Source organism: Homo sapiens, chromosome 3 (genome assembly GCF_000001405.40).
Source record: "Homo sapiens chromosome 3, GRCh38.p14 Primary Assembly".
In the NCBI taxonomy this organism is placed as follows: domain Eukaryota; kingdom Metazoa; phylum Chordata; class Mammalia; order Primates; family Hominidae; genus Homo; species Homo sapiens.
This window is the reverse complement of record NC_000003.12, coordinates 137203386-137219422: the sequence shown is the minus strand read 5'-3', so window position 1 is coordinate 137219422 and position 16037 is coordinate 137203386. Positions and strand designations below refer to the sequence as shown.

Genomic DNA, 16037 nt, shown 5'->3' with positions numbered 1-16037 from the left:
AGTCTAAGAATCAGGCATTACTGGATGTTTGAGCAAACTAAAGTGATTTATAGTACAGAACTAGATATTAGATTTCAGATATCCCTATTCCTTTCAGCCATCCATTATGGCCACCCCATCCCATAATAAGACCTGAATATCTCCAGATTTTTCTCTTTCCCCTCTCACCTTCAACATTTTCCCCTCCTCATGCTCTCCTTCCCAGTTGCCCCTAAGAATTCCATGTCCAAACATAGCACTTTTCCTTCTGTTGTATAGGTCAGTAGCTCTCAACTTTGACCATGTATCAGGGTCACTTGATGAGCTTGTTGAACACAGATCACTGGGTCCCACCTCAGTATTTTTTTTATTTAGGGTCTAGGATGGGACCTGAGAAGTTGTATTTCTAACAAGTTATTGGATGATGCTGATGCTACTGTTCTGAAGACCACACTTTAAGAACAACTGGTGTAGATTCCACTTCTCTCTAGCCTTTAATTTCAAACTTGTCCCAGGTCTACCTTTGCTCATCAGCTGATCAGAAAAATGCATCCATTCAGTTAGTGGCCTAAAGGATGCTTGATAGCATTCAGAAATCATTTCTGCTCTCAAAGACAGTTATAGTTTTAATTATGATGAGGTCCCCCCTCTGGTTAGTTAGTCTGACTGGTCCAAAGCTGGTTCTACCAATCACTAGTTGTGTATCTATGGACCACAGTATTTAACTTCTTTGAGACTAGTTTCCTCATCTGTAAAACTGCAGATGATAATGCTTACTCCTTAAGATTGTATGAGCATTAACAGAGTTAATGTATATAAAGTATTAACCTGTTTCTGGGCATACAAAAAAGATACTCCATGTTAGTTATTACTTATTTGTTCCAGAAATCGTGACCAAACCCCTGCAGTATTTCAGGACCTTGCTAGGGATTGGGATGAGGGATGAAGAAGTTGAGGCCCCTTATTATTAGGAAACCACATAATAGGAGAGAGGAGGGGCAGTAAACAAACACAAGTTGTCAGGTTTATGCCAGAGATGAGTTCTTGAAGCCCTCTCATAATTCAAGACTAATTGCTCTTAGAAATAAATGTAAAATGGAAGCTGCAATCTAGGGGCACATAAATCCACAAACATTGTAGAAAAATGTGCTCTAATGCTGCTTTTTATTTTCTTAGCATTAGCTCTAATATTTTGCAGAAGGCTTGTTATTACATTAATAGCATATCATGGCAGTTGCTAGGTCTCCCTTGTAGTATTTTATCACCTCTAACTTCCATTCCAAAGTTATTGATTTTTCTGGAGTGTTTTTCGTCACTTGTGCAAACGTTATCATCTAATAAATGCTTAGATGGCTTTGTTAAATTATAAGAAATGAATGTTAAAATAACAGGACAACAACTACCAAATTTCACTCACAGAAGTTCAAGCGCCTTTGAAAACAACAGAAGGGTCACAAAAAATGCTGACCCCAACAGAGACCAATAGAGATCCAGTTTGACCGCTAAAGTGGCGCCGCCATGTGGCAGCAGCAAAAATATTTGCAATGTGCTGGGTCCTCCAGTCTGTGATGGCTATTTTGGTTTTAGTTGCTCCAGTTTTCATTTTGGAGGAGCTACACTACTTCACATTTTGTGCTTAAAATGAAAATTTGTGTTTTTATGTTACACTATTTCAAATCCATCAATCAGGTTCCCATGAAATGTCTGTGCTCTGTAATCACAGTGATCTGAAAGAGACACGGTTGGAGACATTAAGAGAGTTGAGGAGAGACCAACCCTGGCAGGATCTGCTCCCAGCATGGGCAATTCCATCCTCTCTTCCTGCAGCCTCTCCCTTACAGGTGGGTTCACGTTTGCTGCCTCTGTTACTCTCATAAGGCAGGAACCCTTCCTGCCCAAACAAAAGCAATGATCCCAGGAGGTACATCTTGTCATGGACTGCAGTCTGCAGCCAAGATCTAGCTCCTGATGGCTGAGACAGTCCATCCCACAGGAATTCATGGAAATTAGAGAAAAACATGCATCCTTTCAAACACTTAAAGGAACAGCAAAAAAATATTTAAAGTGGCTACACCTTTTCTGGTTAAAATATAGCCAGCATGACTTGCTTTTAAAAGAATGAAATATTTGTGTATGTTTTGGATGAAGGTTTAGGATTATGATCCAGAACATTGTCAATTATTTAGTAACCAAAATTAGAACAAATCAGACAGGACTCCAGAAGTTACATTTTAGAGGAGTTAGCAGCTGCCTTTCCATCAATGCTTTATATTTTTCTTTATTATTATACTTTAAGTTCTAGGGTACACGTGCACAACGTGCAGGTTTGATACATAGGTATACATGTGCCATGGTGGTTTGCTGCACCCATCAACTCATCATTTACATTAGGTATTTTTCCTAATGCTGTCCCTCCCCCAGCGCCACACCCCCCCGACAGGCCCCAGTCTGTGATGTTCCCCACACTGTCCAAGTGATCTCATTGTCCAATTCCCAACGATGAGTGAAAAAATGTGGTGTTTGGTTTTCTGTCCTTGTGATAGTTTGCTGAGAATGATGGTTTCCAGCTTCATCCACGTCCCTGCAAAGGACATGAACTCATCCTTTCTTATGGCTTCATAGTATTCCATGGTGTATATGTGCCACATTTTGTTAATCCAGTCTATCATTGATGGACATTTGGGTTGGTTCCAAGTCTTTGCTATTGTGAATAGTGCCACAATAAACATACGTGTGCATGTGTCTTTATAGTAGCATGATTTACAATCCTTTCGGTATATAGCCAGTAATGGGATTGCTAGGTCAAAAAGTAATTCTAGTTCTAGATCCTTGAGGAATTGCCACACTGTCTTCCACAATGGTTGAATGAATTTACACTCCCACCAACAGTGTAAAAGCATTCCTTTTTCTCCACATCCTCTCCAGCATCTGTTGTTTCCTGACTTTTTAACGATTGCCATTCTAACTGGTGTGAGATGGTATCTCATTGTGGTTTTGATTTGCATTTCTCTGATGGCCAGTGATGATGAGCATTTTTTCATGTGTCTGTTGGCTGCATAGATGTCTTCTTTTGAGAAGTGTCTGTTCATATCCTTTGCCCCCTTTTGGTGGGGTTGTTTTTTCTTGTAAATTTGTTTGAGTTCATTGTAGATTCTGGATATTAGCCCTTTGTCAGATGGGTAGATTGCAAAAATTTTCTCCCATTCTGTAGGTTGCCTGTTCACTCTGATTGTAGTTTCTTTTGCTGTGCAGAAGCTCTTCAGTTTAATTAGATCCCATTTGTCAATTTTGGCTTTTGCTGCCATTGCTTCTGGTGTTCTAGTCATAAAGTCCTTGCCCATGCCTATGTCCTGAATGGTATTGCCTAGGTTTTCTTCTAGGGTTTTTATGGTTTTAGGTCTAACATTTAAGTCTTTACTCCATCTTGAATTAATTTTTGTATAAGGTGTAAGGAAGAGATCCAGTTTCAGCTTTCTACATATGGCTAGCCAGTTTTCCCAGCACCATTTATTAAATAGGGAATCCTTTCCCCGTTGCTTGTTTTTCTCAGGTTTGTCAAAGATCAGATGGTTCTAGATGTGCGATGTTATTTCTGAGGCCTCTGTTCTGTTTCGTTGGTCTATATCTCTGTTTTGGTACCAGTACCATGCTGTTTTGGTTACTGTAGCCTTGTGGTATAGTTTGAAGTCAGGTAGCATGATGCCTCCAGCTTTGTTCTTTTTGCTTTGGACTGTCTTGGCAATGCAGGCTCCTTTTTGGTTCCATGTGAACTTTAAAATAGTTTTTTCCAATTCTATGAAGAAAGTTACTGGTAGCTTGATGGGGATGGCATTGAATCTATAAATTACCTTGGGCAGTATGGCTATTTTCACAATATTGATTCTTCCTATCCATGAGCATAGAATATTCTTCCATTTGTTTGTGTCCTCTTTTATTTCATTGAGCAGTGGTTTGTAGTTCTCCTTTAAGAGGTCCTTCACATCCCTTGTAAGTTGTATTCCTAGGTATTTTATTCCCTTTGTAGCAATTGTGAATAGGAATTCACTCATTATTTGGCTCTCTGTTAATGGTGTATAAGAACGCTCGTGATTTTTGCACGTTGATTTTGCATCCTGAGACTTTGCTGAAGTTGCTTATCAGCTTAAGGAGATTTTGGACCGAGACAATGGGGTGTTCTAAATATACAATCATGTCATCTGCAAACAGGGACACTTTGACTTCCTCTTTTCCTAATTGAATACCTTTTATTTCTTTCTCTTGCCTGATTGCCCTGGCCAGAAGTTCCAACATTACATTGAACAGGAGTGGTGAGAGAGGGCATCCTTGTCTTATGCTGATTTTCAAAGGAAATGCTTCCAGTTTTTGTCCATTCAGTATGAAATTGGCTGTGGGTTTGTCATAAATAGCTCTTATTATTCTGAGATATGTTTCATCAATACCTAGTTTATTGAGAGTTTTTAGCATGAAGGGCTGTTGAATTTTGTCGAAGGCCTTTTCTGCGTCTATTGAGATAATCATGTCGTTTCTGTCATTAGTTCTGTTTATGTGATGGATTAGGTTTATTGGTTTGCGTATGTTGAACCAGCCTTGCATCCCAGGGATGATCATGGTGGATAAGCTTTTTGATGTGCTGCTGGATTCGGTTTGCCAGTATTTTATTGAGGATTTTCACATCGATGTTCATCAGGGATATTGGTCTAAAATTCTCTTTTTTTGTTGTGTCTCTGCCAGGCTTTGGTATCAGGATGATGTTGGCCTCATAAAATGAGTTAGGGAGGATTCCCTCTTTTTCTATTGATTGGAATAGTTTCAGAAGGAATGATACCACCTCCTCTTTGTACCTCTGGTAGAATTCAACTGTGAATCCGTCTGGTCCTGGACTTTTTTTGTTGATAGGCTATTAATTATTGCCTCAATTTCAGAGCCTGTTATTAGTCGATTCAGAGATTCAACTTCTTCCTGGTTTAGTCTTGTGAGGATGTATGTGTTGAGGAATTTATCCATTTCTTTTAGACTTTCTAGTTTATTTGCGTAGAGGTGTTTATAGTATTCTCTGATGGTAGTTTGTATTTCCGTAGGATTGGTGGTGATATCCCCTTTATCATTTTTTATTGCATCTATTTGATTCTTCTCTCTTTTCTTCTTTATTAGTCTTTCTAGTGGTCTATCAATTTTGTTGATCTTTTCAAAAAACCAGGTCCTGGAGTCATTGATTTTTTTTAAGGGTTTTTTGTGCCTCTATCTCTTTCACTTAGTTCTGCTCTGATCTTGGTTATTTCTTGCCTTCTGCTAGCTTTTGAATTTGTTTGCTCTTGCTTCTCTAGTTCTTTTAATTGTGATGTTAGGGTGTCGATTTTAGATCTTTCCTGCTTTCTCTTGTGGGCATTTAGTGCTATAAATTTTCCTCTACACACTGCTTTAAATGTGTCCCAGAGATTCTGGCATGTTGTGCTTTTGTTCTCATTGGTTTCAAAGAACATCTTTATTTCTGCTTTCATTTCGTTATGTACCCAGTAGTCATTCAGGAGCAGGTTGTTCAGTTTCCATGTAGTTGTGTGGTTTTGAGTGAGTTTCTTAATCCTGAGTTCTAATTTGATTGCACTGTGGTCTGAGAGACAATTTGTTGTGATTTCTTTTCTTTTGCATTTGCTGAGGCGTGCTTTACTTCCAATTATGTGGTCAATTGTTTACAATAAGTGCAATGTGGTGCTGAGAAGAATGTGTATTCTGTTGATTTGGGGTGGAGAGTTCTGTAGATGTCTATTAGGTCTGCTTGTTGCAGAGCTGAGTTCAGGTCCTGCATATCCTTGTTAACCTTCTATCTCGTTGATCTGTCTAATATTGACAGTGGGGTGTTAAAGTCTCCCATTATTATTGTGTGGGAGTCTAAGCCTCTTTGTAGGTCTCTAAGGACTTGCTTTATGAATCTGGGTGCTCCTGTATTGGGTGCATATATATTTAGGATAGTTAGCTCTTCTTGTTGAATTGATCCCTTTACCATTATGTAATGGCCTTCTTTGTCTCTTTTGATCTTTGTTGGTTTAAAGTCTGTTTTATCAGAGACTAGGATTGCAACCTCTGCTTTTTTTTTTTTTGCTTTCCATTTGCTTGGTAGATCTTCCATCCCTTTATTTTTAGCCTATGTGTGTCTTTGCATGTGAGATGGGTTCCCTGAATACAGCACACTGATGGGTCTTGACTCTATCCAATTTGCCAGTCTGTGTCTTTTAATTGGGGCATTTAGCCCATTTACATGTAAGGTTAATATTGTTATGTGTGAATTTGATCCTGTCATTATGATGTCCACTGGTTATTTTGCCTGTTAATTGATGCAGTTTCTTCATAGCATCGATAGTCTACAATTTGGCATGTTTTTGCAATGGCTGGTACCAGTTGTTTATTTCCATGCTTAGTGCTTCCTTCAGGAGCTCTTGTAAGGCAGGCCTGGTGGTGACAAAATCTCTCAGCGTTTGCTTGTCTGTAAAGGATTTTATTTCTCCTTCACTTATGAAGCTTAGTTTGGCTGGATATGAAATTCTGAGTTGAAAATTCTTTTCTTTAAGAATATTAAATATTGGTCCCCACTCTCTTCTGGCTTGTAGGGTTTCTGCCAAGAGATCCGCTGTTAGTCTGATGGGCTTCCCTTTGTGGGTAACTCGACCTTTCTCTCTGGCTGCCCTTAACACTTTTTCCTTCATTTCAACCTTGGTGAATCTGACAATTATGTGTCTTGGGGTTGCTCTTCTCAAGGAGTATCTTTGTGGTGTTCTCTGTATTTCCTGAATTTGAATATTGGCCTGCCTTGCTAGGTTGGGGAAGTTCTCCTGGATAATATCCTGAAGAGTATTTTGTAACTTGGTTCCATTCTCCCTGTCACTTTCAGATACACCAATCAAACATAGATTTGGTCTTTTCACATAGTCCCATGTTTCTTGGATGCTTTGTTCATTTCTTTTCACTCTTTTTTCTCAAACTTTGTCTTCTCGCTTCATTTCATTAATTTGATCTTCAATCACTGATACCCTTTCTTCCACTTGATCGAATCAGCTATTGAAGCTTGTGCATGCATTGCAAAGTTCTCGTGCCATAGTTTTCAGCTATGTCAGGTCATTTCAGGTCTTCTCTACACGGTTTATTCTAGTTAGCCATTCATCTAATCTTTTTTCAAGGTTTTTAGCTTCTTGCAATGGGTTTGAACATCCTCCTTTAGCTCAGAGAAGTTTGTTATTACTGACCTTCTGAAGCCAACTTCTGTCAACTCGTCAAAGTCATTCTCCGTCCAGATTTGTTCCATTGCTGGCGAGAAGTTGCAATCCTTTGGAGGAGAAGAGGCGCTCTGATTTTTGGAATTTTCAGCTTTTCTGCTCTGGTTTCTCCCCATCTTTGTGGTTTTTATCTACCTTTGGTCTTTGATGTTGGTGACCTACAGATGGGGTTTTTGTGTAGATGACCTTTTTGTTGATGTTGATGCTACTCCTTTCTGATAGTTAGTTTTTCTTCTAACACTCAGGTCCCTGGGCTGCAGGTCTGTTGGAGTTTGCTGGAGGTCCACTCCAGACCCTGTTTGCCTGGGTACCACCAGTGGAAGCTGCAGAACAGCAAATACTGCAGAAAAGGAAATATTGCTGCCTGATCCTTCCTCTGGAAGCTTCGTCCCAGAGGGGCAGCCACCTATATGAGGTGTCTGTCGGCCCCTACAGCGAGGTGTCTCCCAGTTAGGCTACAGGAGGGTCAGGGACCCACTTGAGGAGGCAGTCTGTCTGTTCTCAGAGTTTAAATGCCATGCTGGGAGAATCACTGCTCTCTTCCGAGCTGTCAGACAGGAAAGTTTAAGTCTGCAGAAGTTGTCTGCTGCCTTTGGTTCAGCTATGCCCTGCCCACCGAGGTAGAGTCTAGAGGCAGTAGGACTTGTTGAGCTGTGGTGGGCTCTGCCCAGTTTGAGTTTCCCGGCTGCTCTGTTTACCTATTCAAGCCTCAGCAATGGCAGATGCCCCTCCCTCAGCCAGGTTGCTGCCTTGCAGATTGATTTCAGACTGCTGCACCAACAGTGAGCAAGGCTCCATGGGCGTGGCACCCACTGAGCCAGGCACAGGAGAGAATCACCTTGTCTGCCAGTTGCTAAGACTTTGCGAAAAGTGCAGCATTTGGGCGGGAGCGACCCATTTTTCTGGGTAGTCTGTCATGGCTTCCCTTGGTTAGGAAAGGGACATCCCCTGACCCCTTACACTTCCCGGGTAAGGCGATGCCCTGCCCTGCTTCAGCTTGCCCTCCATGGGCTGCACCCACTGTCCAACTGGTCCCAATGAGATGAACCAGGTACCTCAGTTGGAAATGGAGAAATCACCCCTCTTCTGCGTCGATCACGCTAGGAGCTGCAGGTCAGAGCTGTTCCTATTCGGCCATCTTGGAACATACCCTCCCCCACCATATTTTTCTTTAGCAGCATTTCAAATAGAATGGGAATACTTTCTAATACTATTTAATCCAAACATATTTAAGTTGTAGGAAAAAAGAAAATACTTACAAAGATTCCTGATGTGGAGATGTATAGTATGGGTCTTACACTGTATGATTCCTGAGATTTTGGACTTCTTGGAATATCTGACATCCAATTAAGGAAATTCAACAAGAGTGTGTGGCTGGAAAATAGTTGCTCAATTAATCTGTAACTGGTTCTCATTGTAACTTCCCCTCCTCATTTCAGAGAAGGCCTAGTTTTTGTGTTCCCTTCTCTCAGGGGTGTTTGTATTATAGGGCAGAAAGCTGAAGTTGACTGAAAAGGTCCTCCTCCTAGATTCTGTCTTGAAAGTTGAAGCTCTTTCAAGAGAGCTTCAAGGAAGGGACAAGGGGGAAAGAAGCTCCTGCCCCTGGGGGTGGAAAGAAAGAGCAGCCAGAGCACTCACTCAAGGTGGGGCTAGGGACAGGATGCTCCCCTCAGCACATTTTCCAAAAGTCACATCTCTTCACGTTGTAAGGGTTTCTTAGAATAATATGTTAGCATGATAGTCATTGATAAAATGATGAAAAGATGCTATATCAGGCAGGTGGAAAAAGTGATGAAAACATTAATGGTTAGACCCAAAGAGAAAGCAGACTCAAAGAGGAGCCTTTCATGTTTGTGTGATTGCTCCCATGGACCTGGGTCAGAACACCCCATTGGTCCTGGGGGTTGCTGACAGCCTCAGCCCAGGTGCCTGCCCTTGGTGTTAGAACCTGGCCCTGCCTCCAGGCAGAGCAGAAATAGGTTGGTTAGGACTGAGGTGTCTTTATGTAGAAGACTCTTTACCAAGTACGGCATAAGAGCAACTTTGAAATCCACATTCAAGAAACCACAAGGGTTTGGGCTATGAGCATCTCAGTAGCAACTAGGGCACTGAAGATCAAATCTCCCCTGATATTCTGGACTTGGCAAGACCCCATCCCCTTTGAACCCTAGCAGAGTGGCAAAAATGCCTACATATTTAACAACTGTCTCCTCATTAGGCACCATACATGACTACCCTGGTTATCCTTCATAAGAGGAATTGGGGCCCTTATTAGAAAGTCTATCAAAAGTGGCAAGACTAATTAACCCTAGACCCAAGGCCAATGGCAAGTGTAGCTTATAATTGTCAGATGTATCAAGTATTGGTGATGAATTATGTATCCTAGGAGGACCTAAACTATATTATTAAATGATTAATTTGAAAATAACTGATGGTTATTCACTCCTCAAGCATTTGCAAGAGCTATGTGCCAAGTACCACACAATATATTTATCCTGAAATTATAAAAATATTGTCCTGCCTTCAGGGAGCTCCCAATTTAGTTGAAGAATCAGGTTAAAATTCAACTGAACCTAGAAAATATATCATACAGGTATGCACATACTTCCATGGGAGACTTTTTAGGAGCAGAATGGCTAAATGATTAGATGGACCAACTTATTTACTTTGGGGGGCTATTAGCGAGTTCCTGGGTTTTGTTTAAACAATGATGGAAGCAGTATACTATTCTCACTTGTTTTAGTTTCAACCTTTTCAGAATTTTCTCAGCAAGAGATACAAGAGGCTAAGGGAGGAGAATTGCTTGAACCTGGGAGGCAGAGGTTGCAGTTTGAGCTGAGGTTACACCATTGCACTCCAGCCTGGGCGACAAGAGTGAAACTCTGTCTCAAAAAAAAATAAAAATAAAAATAAAGAATTTTATCAGCAAAATAGGTCTTTCTCTGGATTAACAGTTCATGAGGCCAGGCACAGTGGCTCACGCCTGTAATCCCAACACTTTGGGAGGCCAAGGCAGGCAGATCACAAGGTCAAGAGATTGAGACCATCCTGGCCAACATGGTGAAACCCCATCTCTACTAAAAATACAAAAATTAGCTGGGTGTGGTGGTGCATGCCTATAGTCCCAGCTACTTGGGAGACTAAGGCAGGAGAATCGCTTGAACCTGGGAGGCGGAGGTTGCAGTGAGCCAAGATTGTGCCACTGTACTCCAGCCTGGTGACATAGTGAGACTCCATAAAAAAAAAAAAAAAAGAGTTCATGAGTCTTTGAATGGATTTTAAGAAGTCAGCAAAGTGGGGAAAAATTTGTCATATTTGAGATCTTTCTTAATAGCTTGAAAATTGTCTCTGTGAAAATATAAATTTTTGTTGAATTTTGTTTTTAAGGAATTGTTTCCTACTGCGCAAGTGCAGAGTGCCATGGGATGTTACTATACATTGTCAGGTAGCAAAGTCATCACCATGAAAGTGTTTTCCTCTGACATATTTTTTTTAGATGTAAGCTAACATTATGATTATAGGCATGAATCTTTTAGTACATGGGCTAGCTTAAGTAGGAAAACATTGAGGAAAATCAAGTAGAAGAAAGTTTGTTTCTTTTGGTTTCATCCCAAATGTGATGAACATCAAAAACATGGTCCCTATTGCGCAGCAAGTCCATTGCCAAATGCCTGGTTAAGAATAGATAATTTTCATGAGAAGATGGCTGAACTGAAAAAAGCGAAATTTTATCAAAACTACAGAAAATTGCACCAACTCAACAGCCTGAACCTAGAGCATCCTGCAACAATGCTCATCCTATAGCCAAGCAAAAGAAGCCTTGGGACTGGGCAGACCTTGGAGCCATCCGCCCTAAAGCAGTCAAGTGTGTTTGTACTCTGGGAGGAGAAATGATGCTAAATCAGTGCCTCTGTCAAGAAGTATTACCTGGGCCAGGCGTGGTGGCTCATGCCTGTAATCTCAGCACTTTGGGAGGCCAAGGCAGGCTGATCGCGAGTTCAAGAGATCGAGACCATTCTGACCAACATGGTGAAACCCTGTCTCTACTAAAAATACAAAAATTAGTTGGCTCTAGTGGCGCGCATCTGTAGTCCCAGGTACTCAGGATGCTGAGGCAGGAGAATCGCTTGAACCTGGCAGTCGGAGGTTGCAGTGAGCCAAGATCATACCACTGCACTCCAGCCTGGAGACAGAGTGAGACTCCGTCAAAAAAATAAAATAAAATAAGAAGTGTTACCCTATCCAGAGTTGCCAGCTTTTTCTCCTTTTAAAGAAGGTCTCAGGGATACTTGAGCCAAGTAAGTTCCCTTCAGCATGCAACTGAATGAATGTATTGCCAGTTTTCAGTGTGCCAGTTCTTCATTTTCCTGTCACATACATACTGATGCCCATTTGGTGAGCCCTCTTTGGAAGTATCATATACTTAATGGGATGCCTTTGGAATCATAAAAATATCTCTGCCAGGGAAAACCTTGAACAAAAAATGTTGGTGCCATGGGTACAGATGGAGCACATTGCTGTTCCACAAAGCATCCCACTTTATCATTTTTGTTAGAAAGAAACTCCACACTTCACACAGACATTGTTTTGTACATTCATGTGATATGGGCAATAATTCTAAAATAAGTCATGTCCACTTCAACTTAGAGTCAGGGCCTTGAATTATACTTTATCAACAGGATTTGTCAAGAAATAGTGCTGAAGTTCACTGGTTTTCTAAACTACAAGTTTTGAAGCGATTGATTGACTTCAGGCAGAATCCCATACCTCTCTCAAGTGATTCGCAAAGCCTGTACTCAGAATAATTTGACAAAAAAGAGTTCATTTCATGACAGGTTACTTGTTCATATTTTTGGCAATCTGAATGAGCCGTTCTCTTCACTCAAGATTCGGACCCCATTTTTGATGCTGCTACCAAGAAAAGTCTTCTGACCGGGTTACCACTGTGGAAGTGGTGTTTGGAAAAAGCTATGTACTCCTTGCATTGTTGGAGAAAGGCTATCTGAAGGCCAGAGCCAAGAGTAAAAAGACTTTGCTGGCTGTTTTGCAGGACAAGTAGGCAAAGAAACCCTTGAAGATTATGTTTGTTGGATGGTCTTAAGATCTTTAAATGTATGGTACTAATGATTTTTTCCTTCATAACAAACATAACTTTTATGATTCAGACATCAGCAAAGTTGACCTCATTGAACTGAAAACAAAGAAAATAATATTATATGAATTCTATGAATTCAACTAAAAGTGTTTTAGAGAATTTTAGTGTTCCTCAACATAAGCCCATCCTCATCTGTCAGAGTAACCTGTAAAAACTCTCTTACTAGCAAATACCATTGAAAGTTAGAATTTGCCACCCTTATTACCACCAAAAATTAATTGGATGTGAAAGAAAGATATTTGTACTATGTGTCAAAAAACACTCTATAATATCAACCTCTTGTTCTAAATAAACAATAGCAATCTTCTTATGAAAGTTACTTTTTAACTAAATTATATCTTACTTTATTTGCACATTTTGATTTAGTGAGATTTTTCAGAATGTGACTTAACTTTTGCATGCAAAAATCAAATTAAGAGGATCATGAGTATTTTTAAGTATGTTTTAACTTTCCAACTGTGGGAAAGATATGTTTGCAATGCAGCAAAATATATTGTATGCAGAAAATGTGTATAATGTGGTTATATGTATTTTTCTTGATAAGGCATCCATAGCTTTTATCCGATTCTTAAAGACTATCCACTAATTCACACACAACTCTAAAAAGGATTAAAAATCGCTAACCTAGTTAAATCTGTGTTTTCTGATAAGCTCTCACTCAACCAGCAAAAGGAACAGCCCAAATTCACATTTTGTGGCTTGTCATAATAAAGCAGACTTTTTTTTTAATCAACAACCTATAGACCTAGGTTAAAATGAAGTTTTCATTCTTTTCTTTTCCCTCATAGTCCCCAGAGTCTTTGTCTCTATTTTTGAGGTACAAGGCAATACTAACAGTTCTAACTCTAAAATCCATTGAATACATATTTGGGGATCTTATCATAGCAAAATGTACTTAAAATAATTGGCCCTGAAAACAAACATTAGAGATTCATAATATATTGACCTTTAGTTCTCCAGAAGACTTATAGCTGAATAAGGAAGAATAAATACTTGAAGAAAATAAAGACAGATGAAGACAAGCATAGAGAAGGCATCACTCAAGACAACTTTCCAGGGGACCAAGCACATGTGCACTTCTGTTAGGAGCATGCCGAGTGTCTCTTCGTGTGTGTGTGTGTACGCATGTGTTTGTATAAGCATGTGAAATAAGCAAACAGCAGTGATTTCTTCCAGCCAAATGCATATCTTTTAAAGTGGAGAGTCAGCCCCGGTGATGCTAATGGAGTGGAATGTAAATATTGGCAAGCAAGTTGTCAAATAGAGGCTTTTAAAGTTTGGAATTTTTCAAGGAAAATGTTAACTGCAGTTAAAGGGCCAAAGTGGTCTTAACCTCATCTCAGAATCTAGAATTGTCACTGGAAGTTCTAAATACCCAGGACTTGTGTGCTAAATTTAGACTTCCCAGCACTGTGACTGGCATTTTGGAACATTTGGTCCATAACGATAAACCACCACACTTGCTGAATACAGGATTAGAGGGGGACTCTCAGACATAACCAATTAATAAATCAGCCTCCCTAGCAGCCTGGGGAGCAGAGGCAAGGGTGCAAGGCCAATAATTTTGCCACATTTCAAATAGCAAATGCACTCATCCCTACCCAGAACTCCCACCCTCAACCCCACCTCACACACCCAGCACATCCTTCTTGCTTCTCAAGATTATACCCATTCCAAGAATCAGCTCAATTTCTACCTTCCTGAGACTTTCTTCCCCAACGCCCATAACCACATCAATATCTACCTTCTCTAAATTCCTCTATATCCTTTATTCTCAATCCTGCTCTCTTGCTAACCCATGTTGCTATCTTCCCTGTAATAATAGCTAACACTTTAATTTTTACCATGTGCCAGGCACTATACTAAAAGCTTTACAGGAATGACCTCATTTAGTCCTCACAGCAACCCTATGATGTAGTTTTTATTATCATTCACAGAAGAGAAATGTTCATATGAGGAAACTGAGGTTTAGAGAGCTAAAATAACCTTCCCAGGGTCCACATCTAATAAATAATGGGCCAGGCAATCCACCAGGTTGTCTGGCCCAAATCCTGCCCTCTTAATAGCGAAATGTACAGCCACTCATGTCTGATATGCATATATTGTCTACCCAGCTGGATTCTAAGTTATTCAGGGCACCTGTATAACATCTCCTTCATGTGACCCCAGAGGTGGCATTGTGCTGTGCCCATAATGCCAGTACTTATTGAGGGAGTAAATGAATAAGTGAATAAAAGTCAATGCACCATCTGCAAAACCCAAGATAAATTAATTGATTTGGACTTCCAAATAGCATGCAGAATCAGGATAAAATGTTCCTGTTGCTACATTTGGCAATGGAAAGCAGATAAATTACTGACTTGCTGCTCTCATGTTCAGCCCACATTAAAGCTGGGAAATAGGTCTCTGTTAACAACCATGACGTTGCTCAGCTTTGTCTCTGGCAGCCCTCCAACCCTAAGTCTATCCTGATCTTCAGAATCTACAAGGTTCACTAGGCGAGAGGGGAACAGCACAGGAGTTTCCCAGTTCCAAGGCTAATTCTACCCCAATACTGCTCGTATGCACCCACACACAAAAAGATGATTCCACTTAGTTCACTTCAATAAATGCTTATTGAGTATCTACTCTAAAGATTCACAGACTTGGCTGCACATTTCAAATCATCTGTGAGATTTGAAAAATTGCTAAGCTCTGGGCCCCACACCAAGCCAATTGACCCAAAACTCAGACTTTGAGATCCATTAACAGCCACCAATCTGAATCTTATGTGCAGATGGAGTTAAGAACTACAAAAATGGATGCCAAGCACTGTGTACCAGTGCCTTTGCCACAGAGGTGTGAGTGTAAAAAGGGAAGTTTGCAGAATAGTAGGAAAGTCACAACACAATTGTAATAAATACAACATGAAAAATTAATTATAAGAAGCCCACTATGAAGTGCTCAGACAGTGGTAAACATAGGCACTATGGGAGCTCAGAAAAGAGGTGCCTACCCTCACTGAAAATCATTGGGAGGCAGGTGTGGAGGATGCGTATGAATGAGAGAATTGTTTTTTAAATAATGAGGTACTATGTCAGGCTGTGGAGGAAAATTGAAACCTTTTGCCTTCCTAGAACAGAAGGTTAGTCCTCTGTAACCTCTGATGACCTCCCTCTGCACATTCCCAAATGCCCCTAGCTCCTGATGGCCCCTAAATCACGCAAACTCATAAACAGAATTGAAATATAAATTCTCAAATATTGGTCCTCAGGCTTTAAGATCAGTGTAACAAATTTTTGAGACTTTTAATCAGTAGTCAATGGAGATTGAGAGATTTTGCCCTAAATCTGTTCAATCTGTAAAATTAGTATAATAATCTCTACCTTGCCAGTGATTATGAAGATTCATGTACTTATTCAATAGACATTTATTGTGCACCTACTGTGTTCCAGGCACAGTGTTAGATACAGAGATAGAATGATGAATGATCACAGACCCAGACTGTGTTCTGTGGACCTCACAATCTAGTATGGGAGACAGACATTGAGGAAATAATCACACAATTAGTATGTAATTACCTACAGATATGAATCCTGTGAAACATGTACCCCTAAATGCCATGAAAGCATGTAGTAGGGAAACCTCACCTAGTCTAG

General features: G+C 40.3%; 1 annotated feature.

Moving 5' to 3' along the window:
- Positions 7603-8102: an enhancer, noted in NCBI's record as "H3K4me1 hESC enhancer chr3:136930163-136930662 (GRCh37/hg19 assembly coordinates)". NCBI's record gives its function as "activates a minimal SCP1, AML or CMV promoter by ChIP-STARR-seq in primed H9 embryonic stem cells {active_cell/tissue: H9 hESC(primed)}" and the evidence as "EXISTENCE:reporter gene assay evidence [ECO:0000049][PMID:30033119]".